The following is a 23930-nucleotide window of genomic DNA, read 5'->3' as shown; positions in this document are numbered from 1 at the left end:
AACCCTAAATAGAAGTTAGCTGTGTAAAAGCATAAGCGGTACCTATACAGGCATACTTTTCACTTAAAACACATCCTATATCCACTTTCCCGTAAATGTGACAGGACTGCATTCTAGTTATGTTTCCCACCAGAACCACCAGGACCTCACTTTCACTTCCCCCGCCCAATCACGGACTACTTCAGCTGAGTTTGCTCCCAAATGCTTGGAGAACTGGCTTGCTCCCCCACTATCCTCCAGCAGCAGTTCCTACCTCTCAGCACGGGAAAACTGGATGGCAGGTAATGAGCCAGGCAGCTGTAGGCCACATCAGCAAGGGGGTCGCCCAAGGTAGAAAGTTCCCAGTCAAGGACAGCAAGCACCTCTGGCTCTTCTGGATGAAACACCAGGTTGTCGAGCCTGAAAAGTCGCAGGAGGAATAGAGACAGCACTAAGAAAACTGCCGGCTAGGGTGGATTCTGCGTGGTCTGTTTGCCCTTTAGGCTTGGCTCCCCACCCTCCCATCCCCTCTGTGCCCGGGTGCCTGAGCTCCCTGGGCTGTGTGCTCCAAAGGCTCCCTTGCCCTCTGGCTTCCAGCTGGACTCAGCCAATCAAAAGCAGGAGATGGGAAAGGGCCTGGTTATTTATTTCCCCAGCTCCTTCTCTGCAGCCTTCCCCAGAGAGCTAGCCTCTCTGGGTTCCGGGAATTACTCCCTCCCTGTGATGGTTTTAAAACAGATCTGTAAATCCTTTGACACTCCTCCCACAAAAGGTAGAGTCTAATGCTTGGCCCAGTGAAGCATCTTGCTTCTAACAGATATAAGACACGTGGAAGTGATGCTGAGGGATTCCTGAAACTAGACTAGGTCAGAAAACGTGATACAGCTTCTGCCCAGCCCTCTGTCTCTTGAAACACACTATTTTGGAGCCCTGAGCCCCCAGGTAAGAAGTCCAGGGCTGAGAGCAATGGTTCATGCCTGTAATCCCCACATTTTCGGAGGACTGCTTAAGCTCAGGAGTTCAAGACCAGCCCGGGCAACATAACAAGATCCTATCTCTACAAAAAAAAATTTAAAAATTAGCTGAGCGTGGTAGTGCACGCCTGTAGTCCCAGCTACTCAGGAGGCTAAGGTGGGAGCATCACTGAGCCCAGGAGTTGGTGGCTGCAGTGAGTTATGTTCCAGCCTATGAATTGCCACTACACTCCAGCCTGGGTGACAGTGCAAGATCCTGTCTCAAAAAAAAAAAGTCCAGTTACCCAGAAGTTGCCATGCTGGAGAGACCATGTGGGAACCACAAAGAGACAGAAAGAGAGGCCCAAGGAGCCCGGCTGTTAATATCTTCTCTGCCCAGGGCCAGCATGCTAGCAAGTCTTCAGAAGATCCAGCCCCACCCGACAGCCGCCCTACTTTGAAATAAGCTGTCCTGTCCCCAGACTGCAAAGATTCATAAGCAAAATGACTGCTGTCGTTGTTGACAGCCACTCAGTTCTGACAAAGTTTGTTGTAGAGTAGCAATAACCACAGCACATGCTTGCCCTGTCAGACTGACCCCTCACTGTTACTGGCCCCGGGACTCCACGCTGTTCTTCAGCGGTTCCTCTAAACCACGCTATATTGAACTAAATAACCCTATATTGAACTCTCCCCAGATAGCCTCTTTCATGCTTTCTGTTTCCTGCCAGGGCTGTCTGTAATGCATGCTTTATTTAAAAGAAAAAGTAAACATCAAGCATGCAGAAAAATACAGAGAATGACATAATGACAGAACTCATGTGTCCACCTTCCAGATTTAACAGATATTGTACGTGCTTTTTTGTTACATTTGCTTCAGATTTTTTAAAAATGAGATTTACTGCTACCCTGAAGTTGGTATATATCAGTCTCAGACATTTCTATATTTCTCTTATCTATACCTGTACCTATATACCACATATAGTGTTCTTTCAATTATTTTTAAATTTTCATAAATGATATATTACCCTTTTGAAACTTTTTTCTACTTCGATTATCTTTTTTGAGACTTATGACTTATGTACAGCAAATTGGTTTATTTTACTCACTAAATAGAATTCCAACATATGGCCAAACTACACTTTATTTATCATGTATTATAATTACAAGCATGACCAAAACAAACATCTTCACCTGAGTCTCTTGGTGCAAAGCTGCAGCAGATGCTTCTTTACAAGAAACGATGGGTTGTAGCATATTCCCATCTTCCATGTTACTGCCCATTACTTTTCTTTTTTTGTTGTTTTTTGAGATGGAGTCTCACTCTGTCACCCAGGCTGGAGTGCAGTGGTGCGGTCTTGGCTCACTGCAACCTCTGCCTCCCGGGTTCAAGTGATTCTCCTGCCTCACCCTCCCGAGTAGCTGGGATTACAGGGGCACCACCACACTCAGGTAATTTTTATATTTTTAATAGACATGGGATTTTGGCATGTTGGCCAGGCTGGTCTCGAACTCCTGACCTCAAGTGATCTGCCCGCTTTCGCCTCCCAAAGTGCTGGGATTACACGCTTGAGTCACCGTGCCTGGCCACTGCCTACTACTTTTCAAAGTAGCTGCAGCAGTTTATGCTCCCACCACCGCTGATTCACTCCACTAGCAAGAAATGTTCTTCTATCCATCAAAAGACAGAACTATCTCTGACTGTGTTGATCAATAAGCAGCAGCACGCTCTCTAAAATCAGAGGATGCCTTTCCTGGAGGCAACATCCTAAATGATCATCATACTTCACTATAGCTAGGGGAGGGGGTGCTCAGACTGCACTGGATATCTCCTGCCTGCTGTATACTTGATCACATTCGTGGATTGTTGAGGTGCCAAGAGAAGCAAAGACAAGGTCCACGGAGCAGCTGTTGTGGGCTGGTGACACAAAGGCCACCTGAGGTCTTCCCCGCCAAAGGAAATACATGGCAATGGCTGGCAAGGAAAGTGTTGTCAGGCAAGTGCTCTAGAATCCCAAGTGGAGAAAGAAGATGGAGGAGGGGGTCAAATGCAGCCCAACTGCATGCCACGTTCAAGGCAGTGTGGGGGAAGCACTTGGCCCCATCAGTCTCTGATGCAGAAGCAGGTTCCTCAAGCTCCCGTGATGACCACATGACAAAGAAAGCTCAGCTGTCCACTCTCAGACCCAGGGGGATCCCCAAAGGTGGCTGGCTAACGGAAGAAGCCGGGAGCGAGGGACACCGGTCAAGCCAATGAAGAGAGGCCAATCAAATTTGGAAGGCAAAGAAATGTCTTTAAGGCTGGGCATGGTGGCTCATGCCTATAATCCCAGCACTCTGGGAGGCCAAAGTGGGCAGATCACTTGAGGGCAGGAGTTTGAGACCAGCCTGATCAATATGATGAAACCCCATCTCACATTTTTGTATTACTAAAAATGTATTGTATTTTTGGATTACCAAAAATACAAAAGTTAGCCACACATGGTGGTGCACACCTGTAATCCCAGCTGCTCGGGAGGCTGGGGCGGGAGAATTGCTTGAACCCAGGAGGTGGGGTAGGCAGTGAGCTGAGATCACGCCACTGCACTCCAGCCTGGGCGACTGAGTGAGACGATGTCTAAAAAAAAAAAAAAAAGAAACGGAAATGTCTTTAAAATTAGCCTTCACTGTCTAGTCTTGTTTAATAAAAGGCCTGAGTCCCCAGATGGGCAAGAAGACAAGCCAAATAAGGCATGCTTGCATCAAAAGCAGGTCTCCAGGTGCTGCGAAGCAGAAAACACTATAAACACTACCCTATAAAAGTACCTAACGGGCAGTTTTCACAGCAAGAGATGATAAGATAAAGCTAGACACTGCCGCCAGACGCCAGGCATACTGAAGTTCCCATTTTAGCCGTGCTACAGACTCATCACATACCCCCAGAGACCCTGTCACTCTCTTTCAATCCTTTCATTACACCCAGTGAGAATGTCCATCCCCAGGCCTCTTGGGAGGTGAGTGGCACCCTCACTCTGCCTTACTTTCAGATGAGATCGGGCCTGTTCAGGGTGGTATGGCCATAGACTCTGCCTTACTTTCAAACAGTGGGTCTCAACAGAGGAATGCTGCCCTCCCTGGGAACACTGGACCAGGTCTGCGAAGATTTTTGGTTGTCACACTCTGTGGGGAGGGGTGCTACTGTCATCGAGTGGGTTGAGGCCAGGGATGATGCCTGACATCCTGCAATGCACAGTAGCTCCCACCACAAAAACTTATCCAATTCAACATGTCACAGTGCCAGAGCTGAGAAACCCTGCCTGAAAAGGCCACACACAGACAGGTGCTTTGTAATAGGAATAATTCCCAGCTGTAAATTGCACCAAGACCAATTGCTCAATTCCCCCTTGGAGCATCCTTGCTGTCATTTTTCAGCTCTCCCTGCCACCACATCTACCTGAAGTCCCCGTGCACCACTGTGGTCCTCTGCTGACGGGGAAGATGGAGGGGCAGCCATTCGATCAGCCTCTCCATGGCTGGGATGGTGCTAGTTTCGGAAGCTCGATACTGCTTAACCCAGGTTCGTACCTGGCGTGGAATATAGTCCCCTGCGGGAAATAGGATTAGAACTTGGTGTGCAATTTCAGCAACCTCTGAAAGTAGCGGAAAAAAAAACCAGTGCAGTGAAACCCTTTGTCATGCTCTGCACTGGGTGGTGCAGTGTCTTTGAACACGTTCCTATGACTGGAGAATTTCCCACATGATGCTCCTGCTGCCCCAAGGTGGAAGTCACCAGCTCTTTGGCTGGATTAGTGTGGTCTGGGTGCTGTTCCTAGCTATATGGTCTCCAAGTATGATCTCTGGTCCTCTTAAAGACCTTGTGGCCGGCCATGGTGGCTCACACCTGTAATCCCAGCACTTTGGGAGGCCAACGCAGGCAGGAGGTCAGGAGTTCGAGACTGGCCTGTCCAACATGGCGAAAGCGCATCTCTACTGAAAAATACAAAAATTAGCCAGGTGTGGTGGTGGGTGCCTGTCATCCCAGCTACTTGGGAGGCTGAGGCAGGAAAATCGCTTGAACCCAGGAGGCGGAGGTTGAAGTGAGCCGAGATTGCGCCATTGCACTCCAGCCTGGGTGACAAGAGCAAAACTCCATCTCAAAAAAAAAGATCTTCTGTGCTTCCTAATAGCCTTTCATAAATCACTTTTTGGCTAAACAACAGTGGTTAGCTGAGCACATGAACCCTGGAGCCAGACTGCCAGGCTATGAAACCCAGCTCTGTTGTTCTCTAGCTCTGTGATCTCAGGCAGGTTACTTAACATCTCTATGCTTTAGTTTCCTCATCTTGAGATGGTCCTCATAGAGCTGTTGGGAGAATAAAATATGTAAAGCCCTTAGAACTATTCTTGGCATGTGGTAAGAACTACATGAGGGCTGGCTGCAGAGGCTCATGCCTGTAATCCCAACACTTTGGGAGGCCAAATCACTTGAGCGCAGGAGTTTGGGTAGAGCCTGGGCAATGTGGCAAAAACCTGTCTCTGCTAAAAATACAAAAATTAGCTGGGCATGGTGGTGCGTACCTGTAGTCCCAGCTACTCAAGAGGGAGAGGCAGGAGGATTGCTTGAGCCCAAGAGGTTGAGGCTGCAGTGAGCCGAGATCACACCACTACACTCCAGTGTGGGCGACAGAGAGAGACCCTGTCTCAAAAAACAAACAAACAAAAAAACTATCCCTGTTGAAACTGGACACGGTGGCACATGCCCAGAGTCCCAACTACTTGGGAGGCTGAGACAGGAGGATGGCTTGAGCCCAGAAGTTTGAGACCAGCCTGGGCAACACAGTGAGACCCCCATCTCAAAAAATACATATATTCCTGTTGAAAAGAATATTTAGGGGAAAGGGTAAAAAACGGAGAAAAATACATTTTAAATACCTATGGTCAGTATCAGAAAAAAAATTTAAATGGTCTAGTGAGATAAAAGTTGCAGGGAATTGGATAGCAGAATATTTAAGGGAAAAAAAGAAAAAATGAAAAAAAAAAGTTGCAGGGAAGAAAGACTGTGTAGTTCATAAAGGGATTTATTGAAGGCCCAAATGCCTAAGTCAGCAACACCTCCATTAAAACTAAACTGGATTTCCAAGGAAGAAGCTAAGTCTGCCTTACGCTTGGTGTGCTAATACTCAAAACGACCCAAAACGATTCAGATCCTAAAAGCAGAAGCACTAGTGATGAAACAACCAGCATGGGAGACGTGGCCTCCTGCTCACCTTGCTTCCCATAGTCTTCAAGTCCCACAGCCTGCAGATCCACACTGTGAATTTTGCACAGGACTGTGTTCATGGCAGTGTATATGGCTCGTCTGTGGCTGGGCTCCAAGCCTGGCAGGGAAGGGTCTTTGTAGATGAGACCTGGGCAGTACTCCATCACATAGAAGGGGGTGCCAATGACACTGGGAGGAACACAGAAGGGGTTTCAGGGATCAGAGTCATAATGTGGCAGGCTGTTAGTCATGACCCTATTCTTTGTCACTTTCCCTGGGTATACAGGTTGAGAGCTGGTGAAGAGTTCAGACCCAGAGCACTGGATACTTCCTTTTTCCTTTCACATAAGCACAGTGCATTAGAAGTATCCTCTCTTGCAATGGATCGATCCACATACATGCACACACACATATACATACACACGTGCACACACACACATGCACACCCATCTATGCTTCTTGGACAGCATGCTTTTCTCTTCTCCCTGGTTCATTTGTGTAAGCCACAGGAATGGATTCAAAGTGTAATAATGTAGCAAGCAGCAAGGCTCAGAGAAGGACCTCTGGAGTCACACCGAACCAGGTTTTTATTTTTTGTTTATTTATTTATTTATTTTTTAATTTTTTGAGACGGAGTCTCGCTCTGTCACCCAGGCTGGAGTGCAGTGGCGCGATCTCGGCTCACTGCAAGCTCCGCCTCCCAGGTTCATACCATTCTCCTGCCTCAGCCTCCTGAGTAGCTGGGACTACAGGCACCCGCCACCACGCCCGGCTAATTTTTTGTATTTTGAGTAGAGACAGGATTTCACCGTGTTAGCCAGGATGGTCTTGATCTCCTGACCTCGTGATCCACCCGCCTTGGCCTCCCAAAGTGGTGGGATTATAGGCGTGAGCCACTGCTCCCGGCCTATTTATTTATTTTTTTGAGATGGAGTCTTGCTCTGTCGCCCAGGCTGGAGTGCAGTGGCGCGATCTTGGCTTACTGCAACCTCCTTCTCCTGGGTTCAAGCGATTATCCTGCCTCAGCCTCCCAAATAGTTGGGACTCCAGGTGCATGCCACCACGCCTGACTAATTTTTGTATTTTTAGTAGAGATGGGGTTTCACCATATTGGCCAGGCTGGTCTCAAACTCCTGACCTCAGGTAATCTGACTGCCTCAGCCTCCCAAAGTGTTGGGATTACGTGTGTGAGCCACTGCACCTGGTTGGAACCAGGTTTAAATCCCAACTCTGCTCTTAGTTGAAGAGTGACCCTGAGAGACTTATTAAACCTCTCTGAGCTTTGTTGTTGAGATGGAGTCTCGCTCTGTTGCCTAGGCTGAAGTGCAGTGGTACGATCTTGGCTCACTGCAACCTCCGCCTCCCGGGTTCAAGTGATTCTCCTGCCTCAGCATCCCGAATAGCTGAAACTACAGGTATGTGCCACCACAACCAGCTAATTTTTTGTATTTTTAGTAGAGACGGTGTTTCACTCTGTTAGCCAGGATGGTCTCAATCTCCTGACCTCGTAATCCATCCGCCTCAGCCTCCCAAAGTGCTGGGATTACAGGCGTGAGCCACTGCACCCAGCCATGTTGTTGTTTTTTAATCTGTAAAACATACATACTTCAAAGGGTAATTGCAAGAATTAAGGGAGCTTCCAGGGTATTTGTTACTTAAAAAAAGAAATGAATTAGGGAACAAACATACAGAGTGCCTGACATGGTCTCTGGTTCCAATAAGGGTTCAATAAGTATCCCTTCTTGTTATTGAGGTTATTTTTATCATTTTTTGGTGGTATGAGTGGTGTATATACCACCCAGCAGTACTAAGGTGACCCAATGACATGTCACTAATCCATCTTTTGGTCATTACTAGCAAACAGTTTACTACTCTATTTATTTATTTATTTATTTTTGAGATGGAGTCTCACTCTATCACCTAGGCTGGAGTGCAGTGGTGCGATCTTGGCCTACTGCAAACTCTGCCTCTCAGGTTCAAATGATTCTCCTGCTTCAGCCTCCAAAGTAGCTGGGACTCCAGGTGAGCGCCACCATGCCCAGCTAATTTCTGTATTTTCAGTAGAGACGGGGTTTCACCACGTTGGCCAGGCTGGTCTCAAACTCCTGGCTTCAAGTGATCCATCTGCCTCAGCCTCCAGTTTACTACTCTAAAAAATTGTTTTGAAAATCCTACCATTACAAATGTTTCAAGTTGAAAAATTATTACAAAAGATGTTTTGGATTGGGGAAATTTGAACATGGGTTAGATATTCAGTATTATTATTAAATAATTGTTAGTTAGGTATACTGGTGTTGTGGTTATGAAAAACAATGTCGGCCGGGTGCAGTGGCTCATACCTGTAATCCAGCACTTTGGGAGGCCGAGGCGGATGGATCACTTGAGGTCAAGAGTTTGAGACCAGCCTGGCCAACAAGGCGAAACCCCGTCTCCATTAAAAATACAAAAATTAGCCGGGTGTGGTGGCACATGCCTATAATCCCAGCTACTTGGGAGGCTAAGGCAGGAGAACTGCTTGAATCCAGGAGGCAGAGGTTGCAGTGTGCCCAGACCGCGCCATTTCGCTCCAGCCTGGGCAACAGAGTGAGACTCCATCTCAAAAAAAAAAGAAGAAGAAGAAAAGAAAGGAAAAAAAAAAAGACAGGGTCTCACTCTATCATCCAGCCTGGAGTGCAGTGATGTGATCACAGCTCACTGCAGCCTCCACCTCCCAGGCTCAGGTGATCCTCCCACCACAATCTTCCGGGTAAGTAGGTAGGACTACAGGTGTGCACCTCCACGCCTGGCTAATTTTTTGTTTGTTTTTGTAGAGATGGGGTTTTGCCATGTTGCCCTGGCTGGTCTCAAACTCCTGGGCTCAAGTGATCTACCTGCCTCAGCCTCCTTAAGTGCTGGGATTACAGGAGTGAGCCACTATGCCCGGTCAATGTCTTTATTCTTGAGAGATGCATGCTGTCTGAAACTTATTTCAAAAGGTTCAGCCAAAAAAAATCATTATCTACATGTTAAAAGTATACATGTATACACACACACATATACAGAAAATAAATGTGGCAAAATGTTAACAATGTTTTAATTTTTGATCTAGATGAAGTGTAAACAGGTATTCATTGTATTAGTTTTTCTTCTTTCACCTTTTCTGAAGGTTTCAAATGTTACATAATTAAAACATTAGGAAAGAAGAGACACTCAAAAAGCATGTTACAAAGCTGTTTAAAATAGTCTTCTCCCTCTCCCTCTCCCCACGGTCTCCCTCTCCCTCTCTTTCCACGGTCTCCCTCTCCCTCTCTTTCCACGGTCTCCCTCTCCCTCTCTTTCCACGGTCTCCCTCTCCCTCTCTTTCCACGGTCTCCCCTCCCTCTCTTTCCACGGTCTCCCTCTCATGCCGAGCCGAAGCTGGACTGTACTGCTGCCATCTCAGCTCACTGCAACCTCCCTGCCTGATTCTCCTGCCTCAGCCTGCCGAGTGCCTGCAATTGCAGGCACGCGCCGCCACGCCTGACTGGTTTTGGTGGAGACGGGGTTTCGCTGTGTTGGCCAGGCCGGTCTCCAGCCCCTAACCGCGAGTGATCCGCCAGCCTCAGCCTCCCGAGGTGCCGGGATTGCAGATGGAGTCTCGTTCACTCAGTGCTCAATGGTGCCCAGGCTGGAGTGCAGTGGCGTGATCTTGGCTCGCTACAACCTCCACCTCCCAGCCGCCTGCCTTGGCCTCCCAAAGTGCTGAGATTGCAGCCTCTGCCCGGCCGCCACCCCGTCTGGGAAGTGAGGAGTGTCTCTGCCTGGCTGCCCATCGTCTGGGATGTGAGGAGCCCCTCTGCCTGGCTGCCCAGTCTGGAAAGTGAGGAGCGTCTCCGCCCCGCCGCCATCCCATCTAGGAAGTGAGGAGCACCTCTTCCCGGCCGCCATCACATCTAGGAAGTGACGCCATCACATCTAGGAAGTGAGGAGCGTCTCTGCCCGGCCACCCATCGTCTGAGATGTGAGGAGCCCCTCTGCCTGGCTGCCCAGTCTGGAAAGTGAGGAGCGTATCCGCCCAGACGCCATCCCATCTAGGAAGTGAGGAGCACCTCTTCCCGGCCGCCATCACATCTAGGAAGTGAGGAGCACCTCTTCCCGGCCGCCATCACATCTAGGAAGTGAGGAGCGTCTCTGCCTGGCCGCCCATCATCTGAGATGTGGGGAGCGCCTCTGCCCCGCCGCCCCGTCTGGGATGTGAGGAGCGCCTCTGCCCGGCCGAGACCCCGTCTGGGAGGTGAGGAGCGTCCCTGCCCGGCCGCCCTGTCTGAGAAGTGAGGAGACCCTCTGCCTGGCAACCGCCCCGTCTGAGAAGTGAGGAGGCCCTCCGCCCGGCAGCCGCCCCATCTGAGAAGTGAGGAGCCTCTCTGCCCGGCAGCCACCCCATCTGGGAAGTGAGGAGCGTCTCCGCCGGGCAGCCACCCCGTCCGGGAGGGAGGTGGGGGGGGGGGTCAGCCCCCCGCCCCGTCCGGGAGGGAGGTCGGGGGGTCAGCCCCCCGCCCGGCCAGCCGCCCCGTCCGGGAGGGAGGTGGGGGGGTCAGCCCCCCACCCGGCCAGCCACCCCGTCCGGGAGGTGAGGGGCGCCTCTGCCTGGCCGCCCCTACTGGGAAGTGAGGAGCCCCTCTGCCCGGCCAGCCGCCCCGTCCGGGAGGGAGGCGGGGGGGTCAGCCCCCCGCCCGGCCAGCTGCCCCGTCCAGGAGGGAGGCGGGGGGGTCAGCCCCCCGCCCGGCCAGCCGCCCCGTCCGGGAGGGAGGTGGGGGGGTCAGCCCCCCGCCTGGACAGCCGCCCCGTCTGGGAGGGAGGTGGGGGGGTCAGCCCCCCCGCCCGGCCAGCCGCCCCGTCTGGGAGGTGAGGGGCGCCTCTGCCCGGCCGCCCCTACTGGGAAGTGAGGAGCCCCTCTGCCCGGCCAGCCGCCCCGTCCGGGAGGGAGGAGGGGGGGTCAGCCCCCCACCCGGCCAGCCGCCCCGTCCGGGAGGGAGGTGGGGGGGTCAGCCCCCCGCCCGGCTAGCCGCCCCGTCTGGGAGGTGAGGGGCGCCTCTGCCCGGCCGCCCCTACTGGGAAGTGAGGAGCCCCTCTGCCCGGCCAGCCGCCCCGTCCGGGAGGGAGGTGGGGGGGGGTCAGCCCCCCGCCCGGCCACCCGCCCCGTCCGGGAGGTGAGGGGCGCCTCTGCCCGGCCACCCCTACTGGGAAGTGAGGAGCCCCTCTGCCCGGCCACCACCCCGTCTGGGAGGTGTGCCCAACAGCTCATTGAGAACGGGCCAGGATGACAATGGCGGCTTTGTGGAATAGAAAGGCAGGAAAGGTGGGGAAAAGATTGAGAAATCGGATGGTTGCCGTGTCTGTGTAGAAAGAAGTAGACATGGGAGACTTTTCATTTTGTTCTGTACTAAGAAAACTTCTTCTGCCTTGGGATCCTGTTGATCTGTGACCTTGCCCCCAACCCTGTGCTCTCTGAAACATGTGCTGTGTCCACTCAGGGTTAAATGGATTAAGGGCGGTGCAAGATGTGCTTTGTTAAACAGAAGCTTGAAGGCAGCATGCTCGTTAAGAGTCATCACCACTCCCTAATCTCAAGTACCCAGGGACACAAACACTGCGGAAGGCCGCAGGGTCCTCTGCTAGGAAAACCAGAGACCTTTGTTCACTTGTTTATCTGCTGACCTTCCCTCCACTATTGTCCTATGACCCAGCCAAATCCCCCTCTGTGAGAAACACCCAAGAATTATCAATAAAAAATAAATAAATAAATAAATAAATAAATAAATAGTTTAGGGCCGGGCACGGTGGCTTACACTTGTAATCCCAGCATCATGGGAGGCCAAAGTGGGTGGATCACGTGAGGTCAGGAGTTGGAGACCAGCATGGCCAACATGGCGAAACCCTGTCTCTACTCAAAAATTACAAAAACTAGCTGGGCATAGTAGGGGGCACCTGTAATCCCAGCTACTCAGGAGACTGAGGCAGCAGAATCACTTGAACCCAGGAGGCAGAGGTTGCAGTGAACCGAGATTAGGCCACTGGACTCCAGTCTGGGTGACAGAATGAGACTCCAGTCTGGGTGACAGAATGAGACTCCGTCTCAAAAAAACAAAACAAAACAGTTTAGAAAGACTCTGATTAAAAAAATAAATAAAGACAAGCAACATGAAACTAGATTAATATGTATTTTTTGAATGTTAAAAAAGATGTTTTCTACCAATTATCCCTAAAGCAGGCATATACTTATCTTGCAGGATAACTTAAATATCTGAGAACTTCTGGGAGAGGTTGTGATAAAGTTTCTTTTCCCTCCTACCCAAATTTTATTTGTCTTTAACAAATTGGAATTTGTGTTAGCATATGGGCTTTTCTCTCCTGTAGCTTGAAAGTGCAATAGCAAAAACATCTGAACTTTACCTTGAATCTTCACAGAGATCAAGAACGTTAGGGACAGGTACTCCAGCATTTGCAAGGGCTTTCATAATCCTGCAAGGACAAATGAAAATAAACAAAATTGCTGGCTGAATTGATGAGATTTTCTTGAAGTTACTTTTCTTTGTTTTTTGTTTGTTTGTTTGTTTTGTTTTTTGAGACACAGTCTCGCTCTGTTACCCAGGCTGGAGTGCAGTGGCACGATCTTGGCTCACTGCAACCTCTACTTCCTAGGTTCAAGCCATTCTCAGGCCTCAGCCTCCTGAGTAGCTGGGATTACAGATGTGCACCACCACAACCAGCTAATTTTTATATTTGTAGTAGAGACGCGGTTTCACCATGTTGGCCAGGCTGTTCTCAAATTCCTGACCTCAGGTGATCCACCTGCCCCGGCCTCCCAAAGTCCTGGGATTACAGGCATAAGCCATTGTGCCTGGCCTGAAATTACTTTTCTGAATTAAAAATGGTACATAAATTAAAATGAAATTCTAAAAAATATTCAATTGACCCAAAAGTAGGTAAGAACAAAAAAATGATGGGACAAACAAAAAACCAATGGTGAAATTGTAGACCTAAATCAAACATATCAATAATTACATTAAACTCAAAAGATGAATAGATTCCAATTAAAAGACAGAAGTTGGCCATGCATGGTGGCTCCTGCCTGTAATCCCAGCACTTTGGGAGGCTGAGGGGGAGGACTGCTTGAGCCTAAGAGTTCAAGACCACCCTGGCCAACATGGTAAAACCCTTTCTCAACTAAAAATACAAAAATTAGCCAGGCATGGTGGCGCGTGCCTGTAATCCCAGCTACTTGGGTGGCTGAAGCATGAGAATCACTTGAACCCAGGAGGCGGAGGTTGCAATGAGCCAAGATCGCTCCACTGTGCTCCGGCCTGGGTGACAGAGCGAGACTCCATCTCAAAAAAAAATAAAATAAAATAAATAAAAGAAATAAAATAAAAATAAAAGACAGATGTTTTCAGCCTGGACAGAAAAACATGACCTAATTATATGATGTCTACAAGAGATATGCGCTGAATATATAAACATAGATAGGCTGCAAAAACAAGGATGGAAATGGAAGCATTATGCAATCACTAAGCATAAGAAAGCTGGTGAGGCTACTTTAATATCAAATAAAGCAGCCTTTACGACAGTGTACCACCAGAGATAAAGAGGGACATTTGAAAATGATACAACTGCAAGTTCATCAGAAAGATATTACAATCATAAGTATGTATGTGCTAAACAACAGAGCTTCGAAATATATCAAGTAAAAATGATCAAAATTAAAGAGAAAAAAATGGAGAAATCCACAAGTCTTAGTTGAGCTTTTAACACTCCTTTCTCAGTAATGATAGAATTAGACAAAAATAGATTTATCTAAAGACATACATCTGAACCCACTACCAACTTGATCTGATGGACATTTGTATACCACTCACTCAGATATTGCAAAATACACATTATTTCAAGTAAACACAATATGTTCGCCAAGATAAGTCATGTGCTGGTCCATAAAATAAATCTCAAAAAATTTCAATAAAAATTAAAATCTAGCCCAGCACACTAGCTCATGCCTATAATCCCAGCATTTTGGGAGGCCGAGGCGGGCGGATCACCTGAGGTCAGGAGTTCAACACCAGCCTGGCCAATACGGCGAAACCCCATTTCTATTAAAAATACAAAAATTAGGGCCAGGCTTGGTGGCTCATGCCTGCAATCTCAGCACTTTGGGAGGCTGAGGCGGGTGGATCACGAGGTCAGGAGATCGAGACCATCCTAGCTAACATGGTGAAACTCCGTCTCTACTAAAAATACAAAAAATTAGCCAGGAGTGGTGGTGGGCACCTGTAGTCCCATCTACTCGGGAGGCTGAGGCAGGAGAATGGCGTGAACCTGGGAGGCGGAGCTTGCAGTGGGCCGAGATCGTGCCACTGCGCTCCAGCCTGGGCAACAGAGCGAGACTCTGTCTCAAAAAATAATAAAAATAATACAAAAATTAGCCGGGCATGGTGCCTCATGCCTTTAATTGTACCTACTTAGGAGGCTGAGGCAGGAGAATCACTTGAACCCAGGAGGCGGAGGTTGCAATGAACCAAGATCATGCCACTGCAGTGCAGCCTGGGCGACAAGAGCAAACCTGCATCTCAAAAAATAACAAACAAAAGGCCGGGCGCAGTGACTCATGCCTGTAATCCCAGCACTCCGGGAGGCCGAGGCAGGTGGATCATGAGGTCAGGAGATTGAGACCATCCTGGCCGAAGTGGTGAAACCCCATACCTACTAAAAATACAAAAATTAGCCAGGCATGGTGGTATGTGCCTGTAGTCCGAGCTACTGAGGAGGCTGAGGCAGGAGAATTGCTTGAACCCAGGAGGTGGAGACTGCAGTGAGCCAAGATCGCACCACTGCACTACGGCCTGGGTGACAGACCAAGACTCCATCTCAAAAAAAACCAAAAAATTGAAATCTTGCAGGGTATTTGTCAGACTTCAATGGAATTAAACTAGAATTCATTCACATATAATATCAAGAAAAAAACCCCCAAATATTTGAAAATTAAACAATGCACTTCTTTTTTTCTTTTCTTTTTTTTTTGAGACAGAGTCTCATTATGTTGCCCAGGCTGGAGTGCCATGGCACAATCTTGGCTCACTGCAATCTCCGCTCACTGCAATCTCTGCCTCCTGGGTTCAAGAGATTCTCCTGCCTCAGCCTCGAGATTGGCTGGGACTATAGGTGTGCACCACCACACTTGGCTTACTTTTGTATTTTTATTAGAGACAGGGTTTCACCATGTTGGCAAGACTGGTCTTGAACTCCTGACCTCAGGTGATCCACCTGGCTCGGCCTCCCAAAGTGCTGGGATTACAAGTGGGAGCCACTGCGCCCAGCCTTAAAAGTTATATATTTAAATGCTTGTATTAGAAAAGAAAAACAGGCCAGGCGCAGAGGCTCATACCTGTAGTCCCAGCACTTTGGGAAGCCAAGGCAGGCGGATCACCCGAGGTCAAGAGTTCGGACCAGCCTGACCAACATGGTGAAACCCTATCTCTACTAAAAATACAAAAATTACCTGGGTATGGTGGCGCATGCCTGTAATCCCAGCTACTCAGGAGGCTGAGACAGGAGAATCACTTGAACCTGGGAGGCAGAGGTTGCAGTGAGCCGAGATTGCGCCACTGCACTCCAGCCTGGGTGACAGAGCAAAAACTCCGCCTCAAAACAAAACAAACAATAGAAAAAAGTAACAAAACCAAACTGTGGTTCCCAGATCAATGTAATTGATAAATCCCTAGCTAGACTAACAAGAGAGAGAGAATACAAATTATCAGTTAATACCAGCAGTGATAAAGAAAGGATATCACTAGGGTGGGCATAGTGGCTCACGCCTGTAATCCCAGCACTTTGGGAGGCCGAGGCAGGTGAATCACTTGAGATCAGGGGTTGTAGACCAGCCTGGTCAACATGGGGAAACCCCATCTCTACTAAAAATAGTAAATTAGCTGGACATGGTGGCGTGTGACTATAATCCCTGTTACTTGGGAGGCTAAGGCAGGAGAATCACTTGGACCTGGGAGATGGAGGTGGCAATAAGCCAAGATCATGCCACTGCACTCCAGCCTGGATGACAAAGCAAGACTCCATTTCAAAAAAAAAAAAAAAAAAAAAAAAAAAAAAAGGATATCACTATAGATCCTACGTATATTAAAAGGATAGTAAGGGAATATTATAAATCATAAATTCAACAGCTTAGGTGATATGAACAGACTCCTTAGAAATTACAACTTACCAAATCTAAAACAAGATGAAATAAAATATCTGAGTAACAACATTTTTGTTAAATTGAATTAATAATCAAAAACCTTGGCCAGGCACGCTGGCTCATGCCTGTAATCCCCAATACTTTGGGAGGCCAAGGTGGGAGGATTGCTTGAGGCCAAGAGTTCAGGCAATATAGTGAGGCCCCATCTCTACAAAAAAATTTTTAAAACTAGCCAGGCATGATGGCATGTGCCTGTAGTATTTGGGAGGCTGAGGCGGAGAATCACTTGAGCCCAGGAGTTCGAGATTATAGTGAGGTATCATCACACCACTGTACTCCAGCCTGGACAATAGTGACACTCTGCCTAAAAAAAAAAAAAAAATCAGCTAATACTATATATGCAGTTTGTATCTGCCTTTACTATCTTAAAATTTTATCATACACATTTGTTATTATAGGCATACTTTTATTAGCTGCAATAACAGCATAATCATTAAAGGTGAGCTATGAAATCTCACAGACTGGCTATAAAGCCAGACTCTAGCACTTGCTTACTAGTTTTATGACCCTGGGTATGCTGGTTAATTTTTTTTTTTTTTTTTTTTTGAGACAGGGTCTCACTTTGTGAGTGCAGCGGTACGATCTCAGCTCACTACAACCTCTGCTTCCTGGGTTCAAGTGATTCTCCAGCCTCAGCCTCCCATGTAACTGGGACTACAGGTCCAAGTCACCAACACCCGGCTAATTTTTGTATTTTTTGTAGAGTCAGGGTTTCACCATGTTGCCCAGGCTGGGCTCGAACGCCTGAGCTCAAAGCAAATCTGCCTGCCTTGGTTTCTTTAAGGCTTACTTTTCCCAGTTGTAAATGAGGACTATAATTGTAACATATCATAGAGTTGTGAGGATGCTCTGCAGTAACAGACATTCGAAGCATTTATTTTAGTGCCTGGCACATATTAACCATTCGATAAATGTTAGCTATTACTATTACTGTCATTGCGACAGTATATATACCAAGGTTTACTTAATTATTTCCTGATTATGGTACAGATTATAGTATATTTAAGTAGTTTCCAAACTCTTTTGTTTGTTTCTTGAGACACAGTCTCGCTCTGTCACCCAGGCTGGAGTGCAGTGGTGCCCACCTCGGCTCAGTGCAGCTTCCACCTCCCAGGTTCAAGAGATCCTCCCACCTCAGCCTCCTGAGTAGATGGAACTACAGGTATGTGCCACCACACCCAACTAATTTTTCGTATTTTTGGTAGAGACAGGTTTTCACTATGTTGTCCAGGCTGGTCTTCAATTCCTGAGTTCAAGTCATCCACCTGCCTCAGCCTCCCAAAGTGCTGGGACTATGGTAGCTACTGCTCCTGGCCTTCCAAATTCTTATTATTAAACAACTTTATGGTGAGCATATTAATACATACAGCTGTTTCCCCCTACTTAGAATTATTTCTTTAAGACAGAGCCCCAGAATTGGAATTATTAGGTCTGAAAGTATGAAAACGCTGAGGCTTTTAATAAATTGTATCATATTGTTTTCCAGAATAGTTCTAATTTACATTTGGCTTTTTGGGGGATTGGAGCAGGGTTTCACAATGTCTCCCAGGTGGGAGTGCAATGATGCCACAGTAACTCACTGTAGCCTTAACCTCCCAGCTCAAGCAATCCTCCCACCTCAGCCTCCTGAGTAGGTGTGACTACAGGTTCATGCCAGCACACCCAGGCTTTTTTTTGGGGGGGGATGGGGGGTAGAAACAGGGTCTTGCTGCATTGCCTAGGCTGGTCTTGACCTCTTGGGCTCAATGATCCTCTTGCCTCGGTCTCCCAAGGCACTGGGATTATAGGTGTGACCCACCAAGCCTGGCCCATAATTGTAGTTTTAAATGTCTTGGGGTATTTTTATGGAGTGCTGACTTTTCAGTTTAGGGCTGAGCTTGTGCACAGTGGAGGCTAGTGGGCAAGTGCTCCCCTGGCCCTGAAAACTTACCTGAACTCCCTCTCTATGGCATGGGCAGATGGAAGGAGTGTCCCTGGGGGCTTCTTCCTCAGAACTAGATCACGATTAGCCAGCCTGATGTAGTAAGTTGGATTTGACTGCCCGTGATCAAACTGAAGTAGTTCCAATGGGCCTGCAAGTTTGAAAACAAAGAAAACTCAAACCAGCCCTGGAGGACAGATCTGAGCAGACATTCTTTCTTTCTAATGAGTTCTGCATTTGGGCTTCAAAATATCCTCATCTGCCATGCAGTGCAAGAAAAGTACCTCTTCTCTGCCTACTAGGAGTGACTGAGTCCCAGGTCTACACTCCGCCAACTCAGGTCCAGGATCACATGCCACTACAGTTTGTCAAAGGCCATTCATTTTATACCACAGTAATTTTCTCAGTTTGTGCAGGTGTCCAATTTTGTCCTTCCTGCCAGCTCCTGCTCCATGAATAAAAACATGTTCATTCTGTTTATCAAGCACAAACGCAGCCATGGCAACCCATCTTGCCAAATGGAATGCTTTAAGCCTGAGGATGAAAGGTGCCCTTGCACGTCCCTCTGCCTGACACTGCTGGGACAGCTGAAAGGAGTGACACAGAGGCCTTCGGCCTGACCCAAAGCTGCTTTCATGAGATGTAATTTCCCACTGCACTAGGCTGAATTCTGTGGCTCCCTTGCAGGATCCTGGCTGAGGTGAAACTAATTCATTCTCAGCTCCATAAGAAGACTGAACCCTGGGTATAGACTGATTTCACTTGGTTAGAAGAGTAGGCAAGCAACAGAACTCGGCCTGAGTTCTTCTGGCTGGCCAGAGTGGGCGCCTCAGCTGTGCAGAGGCCACTACCAATAATCCAATTGCTGGAAAACATCCTAACATGAAACTCCATCAATAAAAGCCTTTTTCACGGAGCAAGTGGGTGAAGCCTTTATTACCTGGGAAAAATGTCTTCTTTGGCCAGGTGCGGAGGCTCATGTAATCCCAGCACTTTGGGAGGCCAAGGCGGGTAGATCACCTGAGATTAGGAGTTTGAGACCAGCCTGACCAACGTGGTGAAACCCCGTCTCTACTACTAAAAATACAAAAATTAGCCAGGCATGGTAGTGGGTGCCTGTAATCCCAGCTACTCGGGAGGCTGAGGCAGGAGAATCACTAGAACCCAAGAGGCGGAGGTTGCAGTGAGCTGAGATCATGCCATTGCACTCCAGCCTGGGCAACAAGGGCAAAACTCCATCTCAAAAAAAATTTAATTTAATTTAATTTAAAAAATTTTGTAAGTCTTCTTTTTTGTTTTCTTTTGTTTTTGAGATGGACTCTCCCTCTGTCGTCCAGGCTGGAGTGCAGTGGCGTGATCTCAGCTCACTGCAACCTCTGCTTCCTGGGATCAAGCGATTCTGCCTTAGCCTCCCCAGTAGCTGGGACTACAGGCATGCGCCACCACACTCGGCTAATTTTTGTATTTTTAGTAGAGATGGAGTTTCGCCATGTTGACCAGGCTGGTCTCAAACTCCTGGCCTCAAGTGATCTGCCCACCTCAGCCTCACAAAGTGGTAGGATTACAGGCATGAGCCACCACCCCTGGCCCAAAAGTGTCCTCTAAAGCACACAAGGCACCTGGTTTTCTGAGGGGGGAATGTGAAGGAGGAAAGAGAAAACTTGTCTCCAAGAAATGGAGACAATTTGTTGCGTTTTAAAATCATGCAACTTTTTTTTTTTTTTTTGGAGACAGAGCCTTGCTCTGCTGCCCAGGCTGCAGTGCAGTGGCATGATCTCAGCTCACTGCAACCTCCACCTTCCAGGTTCAAGTGATTCTCCTGTCTTAGCCTCCCAAGTAGCTGGGGCTACAGGCATGTGCCACCATGCCCGGCTAATTTTTGTATTTTTAGTAGAGATGGGGTTTCGCCATATTGGCCAGGCTGCTCTCAAACTCCTGACCTCAGATGATCCGCCCATCTCGGCCTCCCAAAGTACTGGGGATTACAGGGGTGAGCTACCACACCCAGCAACATTATTTTTCCTTTTTTTTTTGGGGGGGGGACGGAGTCTTGCTCTGTCACCCAGGCCTGCAGTGGCACTATCTTAGCTCACCGTAACCTCAGTCTCCCAGGTTCAAGCAATTCTCCTGCTTCAGCCTCCCAAGTAGCTGGGATTACAGGCGCCCGCCAAAACACCTAGCTAATTTTTATATTTTTAGTAGAGATGGGGTTTTGCCATGTTGGCCAGGCTGACCTCGAACTCCTGACTTCAGGTGATCCGCCTGCCTCAGCCTCCCAAAGTGCTGGGATTACAGGCATGAGCCACTGCGCCCAGCCCTTTTTTTTTTTCTTTTCCTTTTTTTTTTTGAGATGGAGTCTCACTCTGTTACCCAGGCTGGAGTGCAGTGGCACAATCTTGGCTCACTGCAACCTCTGCCTCCCAGGTTCAAGCAATTGTTGTGCCTCAGTCTCCAGAGCAGCTGGGACTATAGTTGTGCACCACCACACCCAGCTAATTTTTGTATTTTTAGTAGAGTCAAGGTTTCACCATGTTGGTCAGCCTGGTCTCGAACTCCTGGCCTCAAGTTATCCACCTGCCTTGGCCTCCCAAAATGCTGGAATTACAGAAGTGAGCCACTACGCCCCGGTCAGCAATGCAAATTCTTTTTTTTTTTCCCCCCGAGATGGAGTCTTGCTCTGTCACCCAGGCTGGAGTGCAGTAGCACGATCTCGGCTGACTGCAACCTCCACCTCCTGGGTTCAAGCAATTCTCCTGCCTCAGCCTCCCGAGTATCTGGGATTACAGGCACCCACCACCACACCCAGCTAATTTTTGTATTTTTAGTAGAGACAGGGTTTCACCAAGTTAGCCAGGCTGGTCTCAAACTCCTGACCTCGCGATCCACCTGCCTTGGCCTCCTAAAGTGCTGGGATTACAAGCGTGAGCCACCGCACCCGCCTGCCGATGTAACTTCTAAGTCGTCTTCACAAAATGGGCTGTCGTCTCAAAGCATTAGAAACTGTAAAATCCTCTGAGCACACACTGCAGTCCCCAAGTTCCTCTCCCTGTTGAAAGCAGGCAACCACTGCCATACCACACTCTCAGGTGTAAGAGTGGGATAGGTACACTTTTGGAGATGCATAAATAGGGAAGTTAATGCTTTTTCCCAAGCAAAACTGAAAGCAGTGCTCCGATGCACCAGGCCCAATGGCTATTTTCCTCACTGTAAAGCTTCTTTGTCTCCAGCCCATTCCATTAGGGTTGAAAAGTGAGAAACAGACCAAAACCTTCGCCTTGGAGAGAGCTACCAAAACATGAAAGAAGCCCACATACCTGTGGTCTGGATACCCAGTAAGTCTTTGAGGTACTTCTGCAAGGAATCTTTCGGAATTTCCATCGTCTTTTTCACAGGCCGAGTGTTTGGAACACCTACTCTCAATGTAAAACCCAAGAGAGCTTCTAATTCCTTTACTGCAGTCTCTGGGTCATTAACCTGGTTTCAGAGAGAATATGTAGATGTATATTTTTTGTTGTTGTTATTTTTCCCTTCCTTTCACAGGATGTTGAGAATATATACACGTATATATTTTTAATTTTACAATTCATGGTAGTACAGGTGCAGAGAATATATATTGAACAGGTGCCAGCAGTCAATCCTGGCCTCAGGGGCTCCTATCTGTTTCCTAGGAGGTGTCTGAAATGTTTGTTCCCCGGTGCCACAAAGACATAGCACTTGAACATAAATTTAATTTACTCAGCAAGGCCATTTTTACTTCCTGCAGAAAGGGTACACTCACCAGCAGTTTTGCCACAACAGTACACCAAACAAAGGAGACAGGGTCATTTATAAGCTGACGCATCCATCCTACTGCTGTGTCCAGTTTCCATTGGCTGGAACGAGACTTTACATTCTGTATTTGTCCTAATTGGCTAGCAACTTAAAACTTTTTAAAAGAGGCAAAGGTAGAGGAAAACAAAGGAAGAAGGAAGTAACTTGTAAAATGCTGAGAAAAATAAAAACACCTTCAAATAAAGAAGAGGAACAAGCTATGACCCAATACTTGCTTGGACCAGTATTAGCAGGCCAAGGCAAATATTTAGACTAAATTGCAGGAACTAAAAACATAAAATACATTAATTTCTTTATTGCAGCTAGCAAATATTTAAAAATGTTAGCATAGCTGGGCGCGGTGGCTCACGCCTGTAATCCCAGCACTTTGGGAAGCCAAGGCGGGTGGATCACGAGGCCAGGAGATCGAGATCATCCTGGCTAACACAGTGAAACCCCGTCTCTACTAAAAATACAAAAAATTAGCCAGGCGCCTGTAGTCCCAGCTACTTGGGAGGCTGAGGCAGGAGAATGGTGCGAACCCAGGAGATGGAGCTTGCAGTGAGCCAAGATAGGACCACTGCAGTCTGGACTGGACGAAAGAGCAAGACTCCATCTCAAAAAAAAAAAAAAAAAAAATTTTAGCACAGGTCAGCTGGGTGTGGTGGCTCACGCCTGTAATCCCAGTACTTTGGGAGGCCGAGGCAGGCGTATCACGAGGTCAGGAGATCGAGAGATCGAGACCATCCTAGCTAACACAGTGAAACCCTGTCTCTACTAAAAATACAAAAAAATTAGCTGGGCGTGGTAGTGGATGCCTGTAGTCCCAGCTACTTGGGAGGCTGAGGCAGGAGAATGGCGTGAACCCAGGAGGTGGAGCTTGCAGTGAGCCAAGACTGCACCACTGCACTCCAGCCTGGGCGACAGAATGAGACTCCGTCTCAACAACAACAACAACAAAAAATTTAGCACAGGTCTTTAAATAAATTTTGCTTCTAAAAGAAGTTACTATTTATTCCTAATTAAATAATAAGGAAAGTCTTTAAAGAAGAACCTCTACTTTACTTTTTACAAAGGGTAGTCCTTTAGAGGGAAATTATCAAAGAAGTCAGTACTCTGAGGAAGGCCTTCGAACCCAGGATATTTAGCTAATGAGGGAGCAGTAGAATGCATTTCCTCTTCCCATTTAACTCCTAACCACACTGAACTTTCTATCCTGCAGAGAGAAGCACTGGTCAACGGTTCACAAAACAGCTAGGCATGATGGTGTGCACCCACAGTTCCAGCCACTTGGGAAGCCTGAGGTGGGAGGACTGCTGGAGTCCAGGAGTTCAAAGCCCTCGGCAACCTAGCAAGACCTCATCTCAAAAAAGATTCACGGCCGGGCGTGGTGAGGCCGTGAATCTTTGGGAGGCGAGGCGGGCAGATTTCCTGAGCTTAGGAGTTTGAGACCAGCTTGGGCAACATGGTGAAACCCTGTCTTTACTAAAATACAAAAAATTAACCGGGCATGGTGGCGTGCGCCTATAGTCCCAGCTACTCAGGGGGCTGACACACGAGAATTGCTTGAACCAGGGAGGCAGAGGTTACAGTGAGCCAAGATCATGCCACTGTATTCCAGCCTGGGTGACAAAGTGAAACTCTGTTTCAAAAAAAAAAAAAAATTTCACAATACCCTCTTGTGCCAAGAAGAAAGAAGATTATGTTACAACGTTTGCTCTTACCCTACAGGCCCATCAGCTCGACGATGAAAACCCAAACATAGAAGAA

General features: G+C 47.9%; 1 protein-coding gene across 2 annotated transcripts in view; it reads right to left on the bottom strand.

Moving 5' to 3' along the window:
* Positions 1–23930, bottom strand: part of ACAD10 (acyl-CoA dehydrogenase family member 10) — a 71047-nt gene that overhangs the window by 22778 nt on the left and 24339 nt on the right. For both annotated transcript variants that reach the window (NM_001136538.2, NM_025247.6), the window contains 6 exons: positions 21665–21824; positions 18360–18501; positions 12583–12651; positions 6179–6360; positions 4366–4516; positions 254–399 (listed from right to left, as the gene is read on the bottom strand). In NM_001136538.2, coding sequence (NP_001130010.1) covers positions 254–399; positions 4366–4516; positions 6179–6360; positions 12583–12651; positions 18360–18501; positions 21665–21824 — 850 coding nt within the window. The remainder of the gene's footprint in view (positions 1–253; positions 400–4365; positions 4517–6178; positions 6361–12582; positions 12652–18359; positions 18502–21664; positions 21825–23930) is intronic.

This window comes from Homo sapiens, chromosome 12, assembly GCF_000001405.40.
Source record: "Homo sapiens chromosome 12, GRCh38.p14 Primary Assembly".
NCBI classification, from domain to species: Eukaryota; Metazoa; Chordata; class Mammalia; order Primates; family Hominidae; genus Homo; species Homo sapiens.
This window is presented reverse-complemented; position numbering and strand designations above follow the sequence as displayed.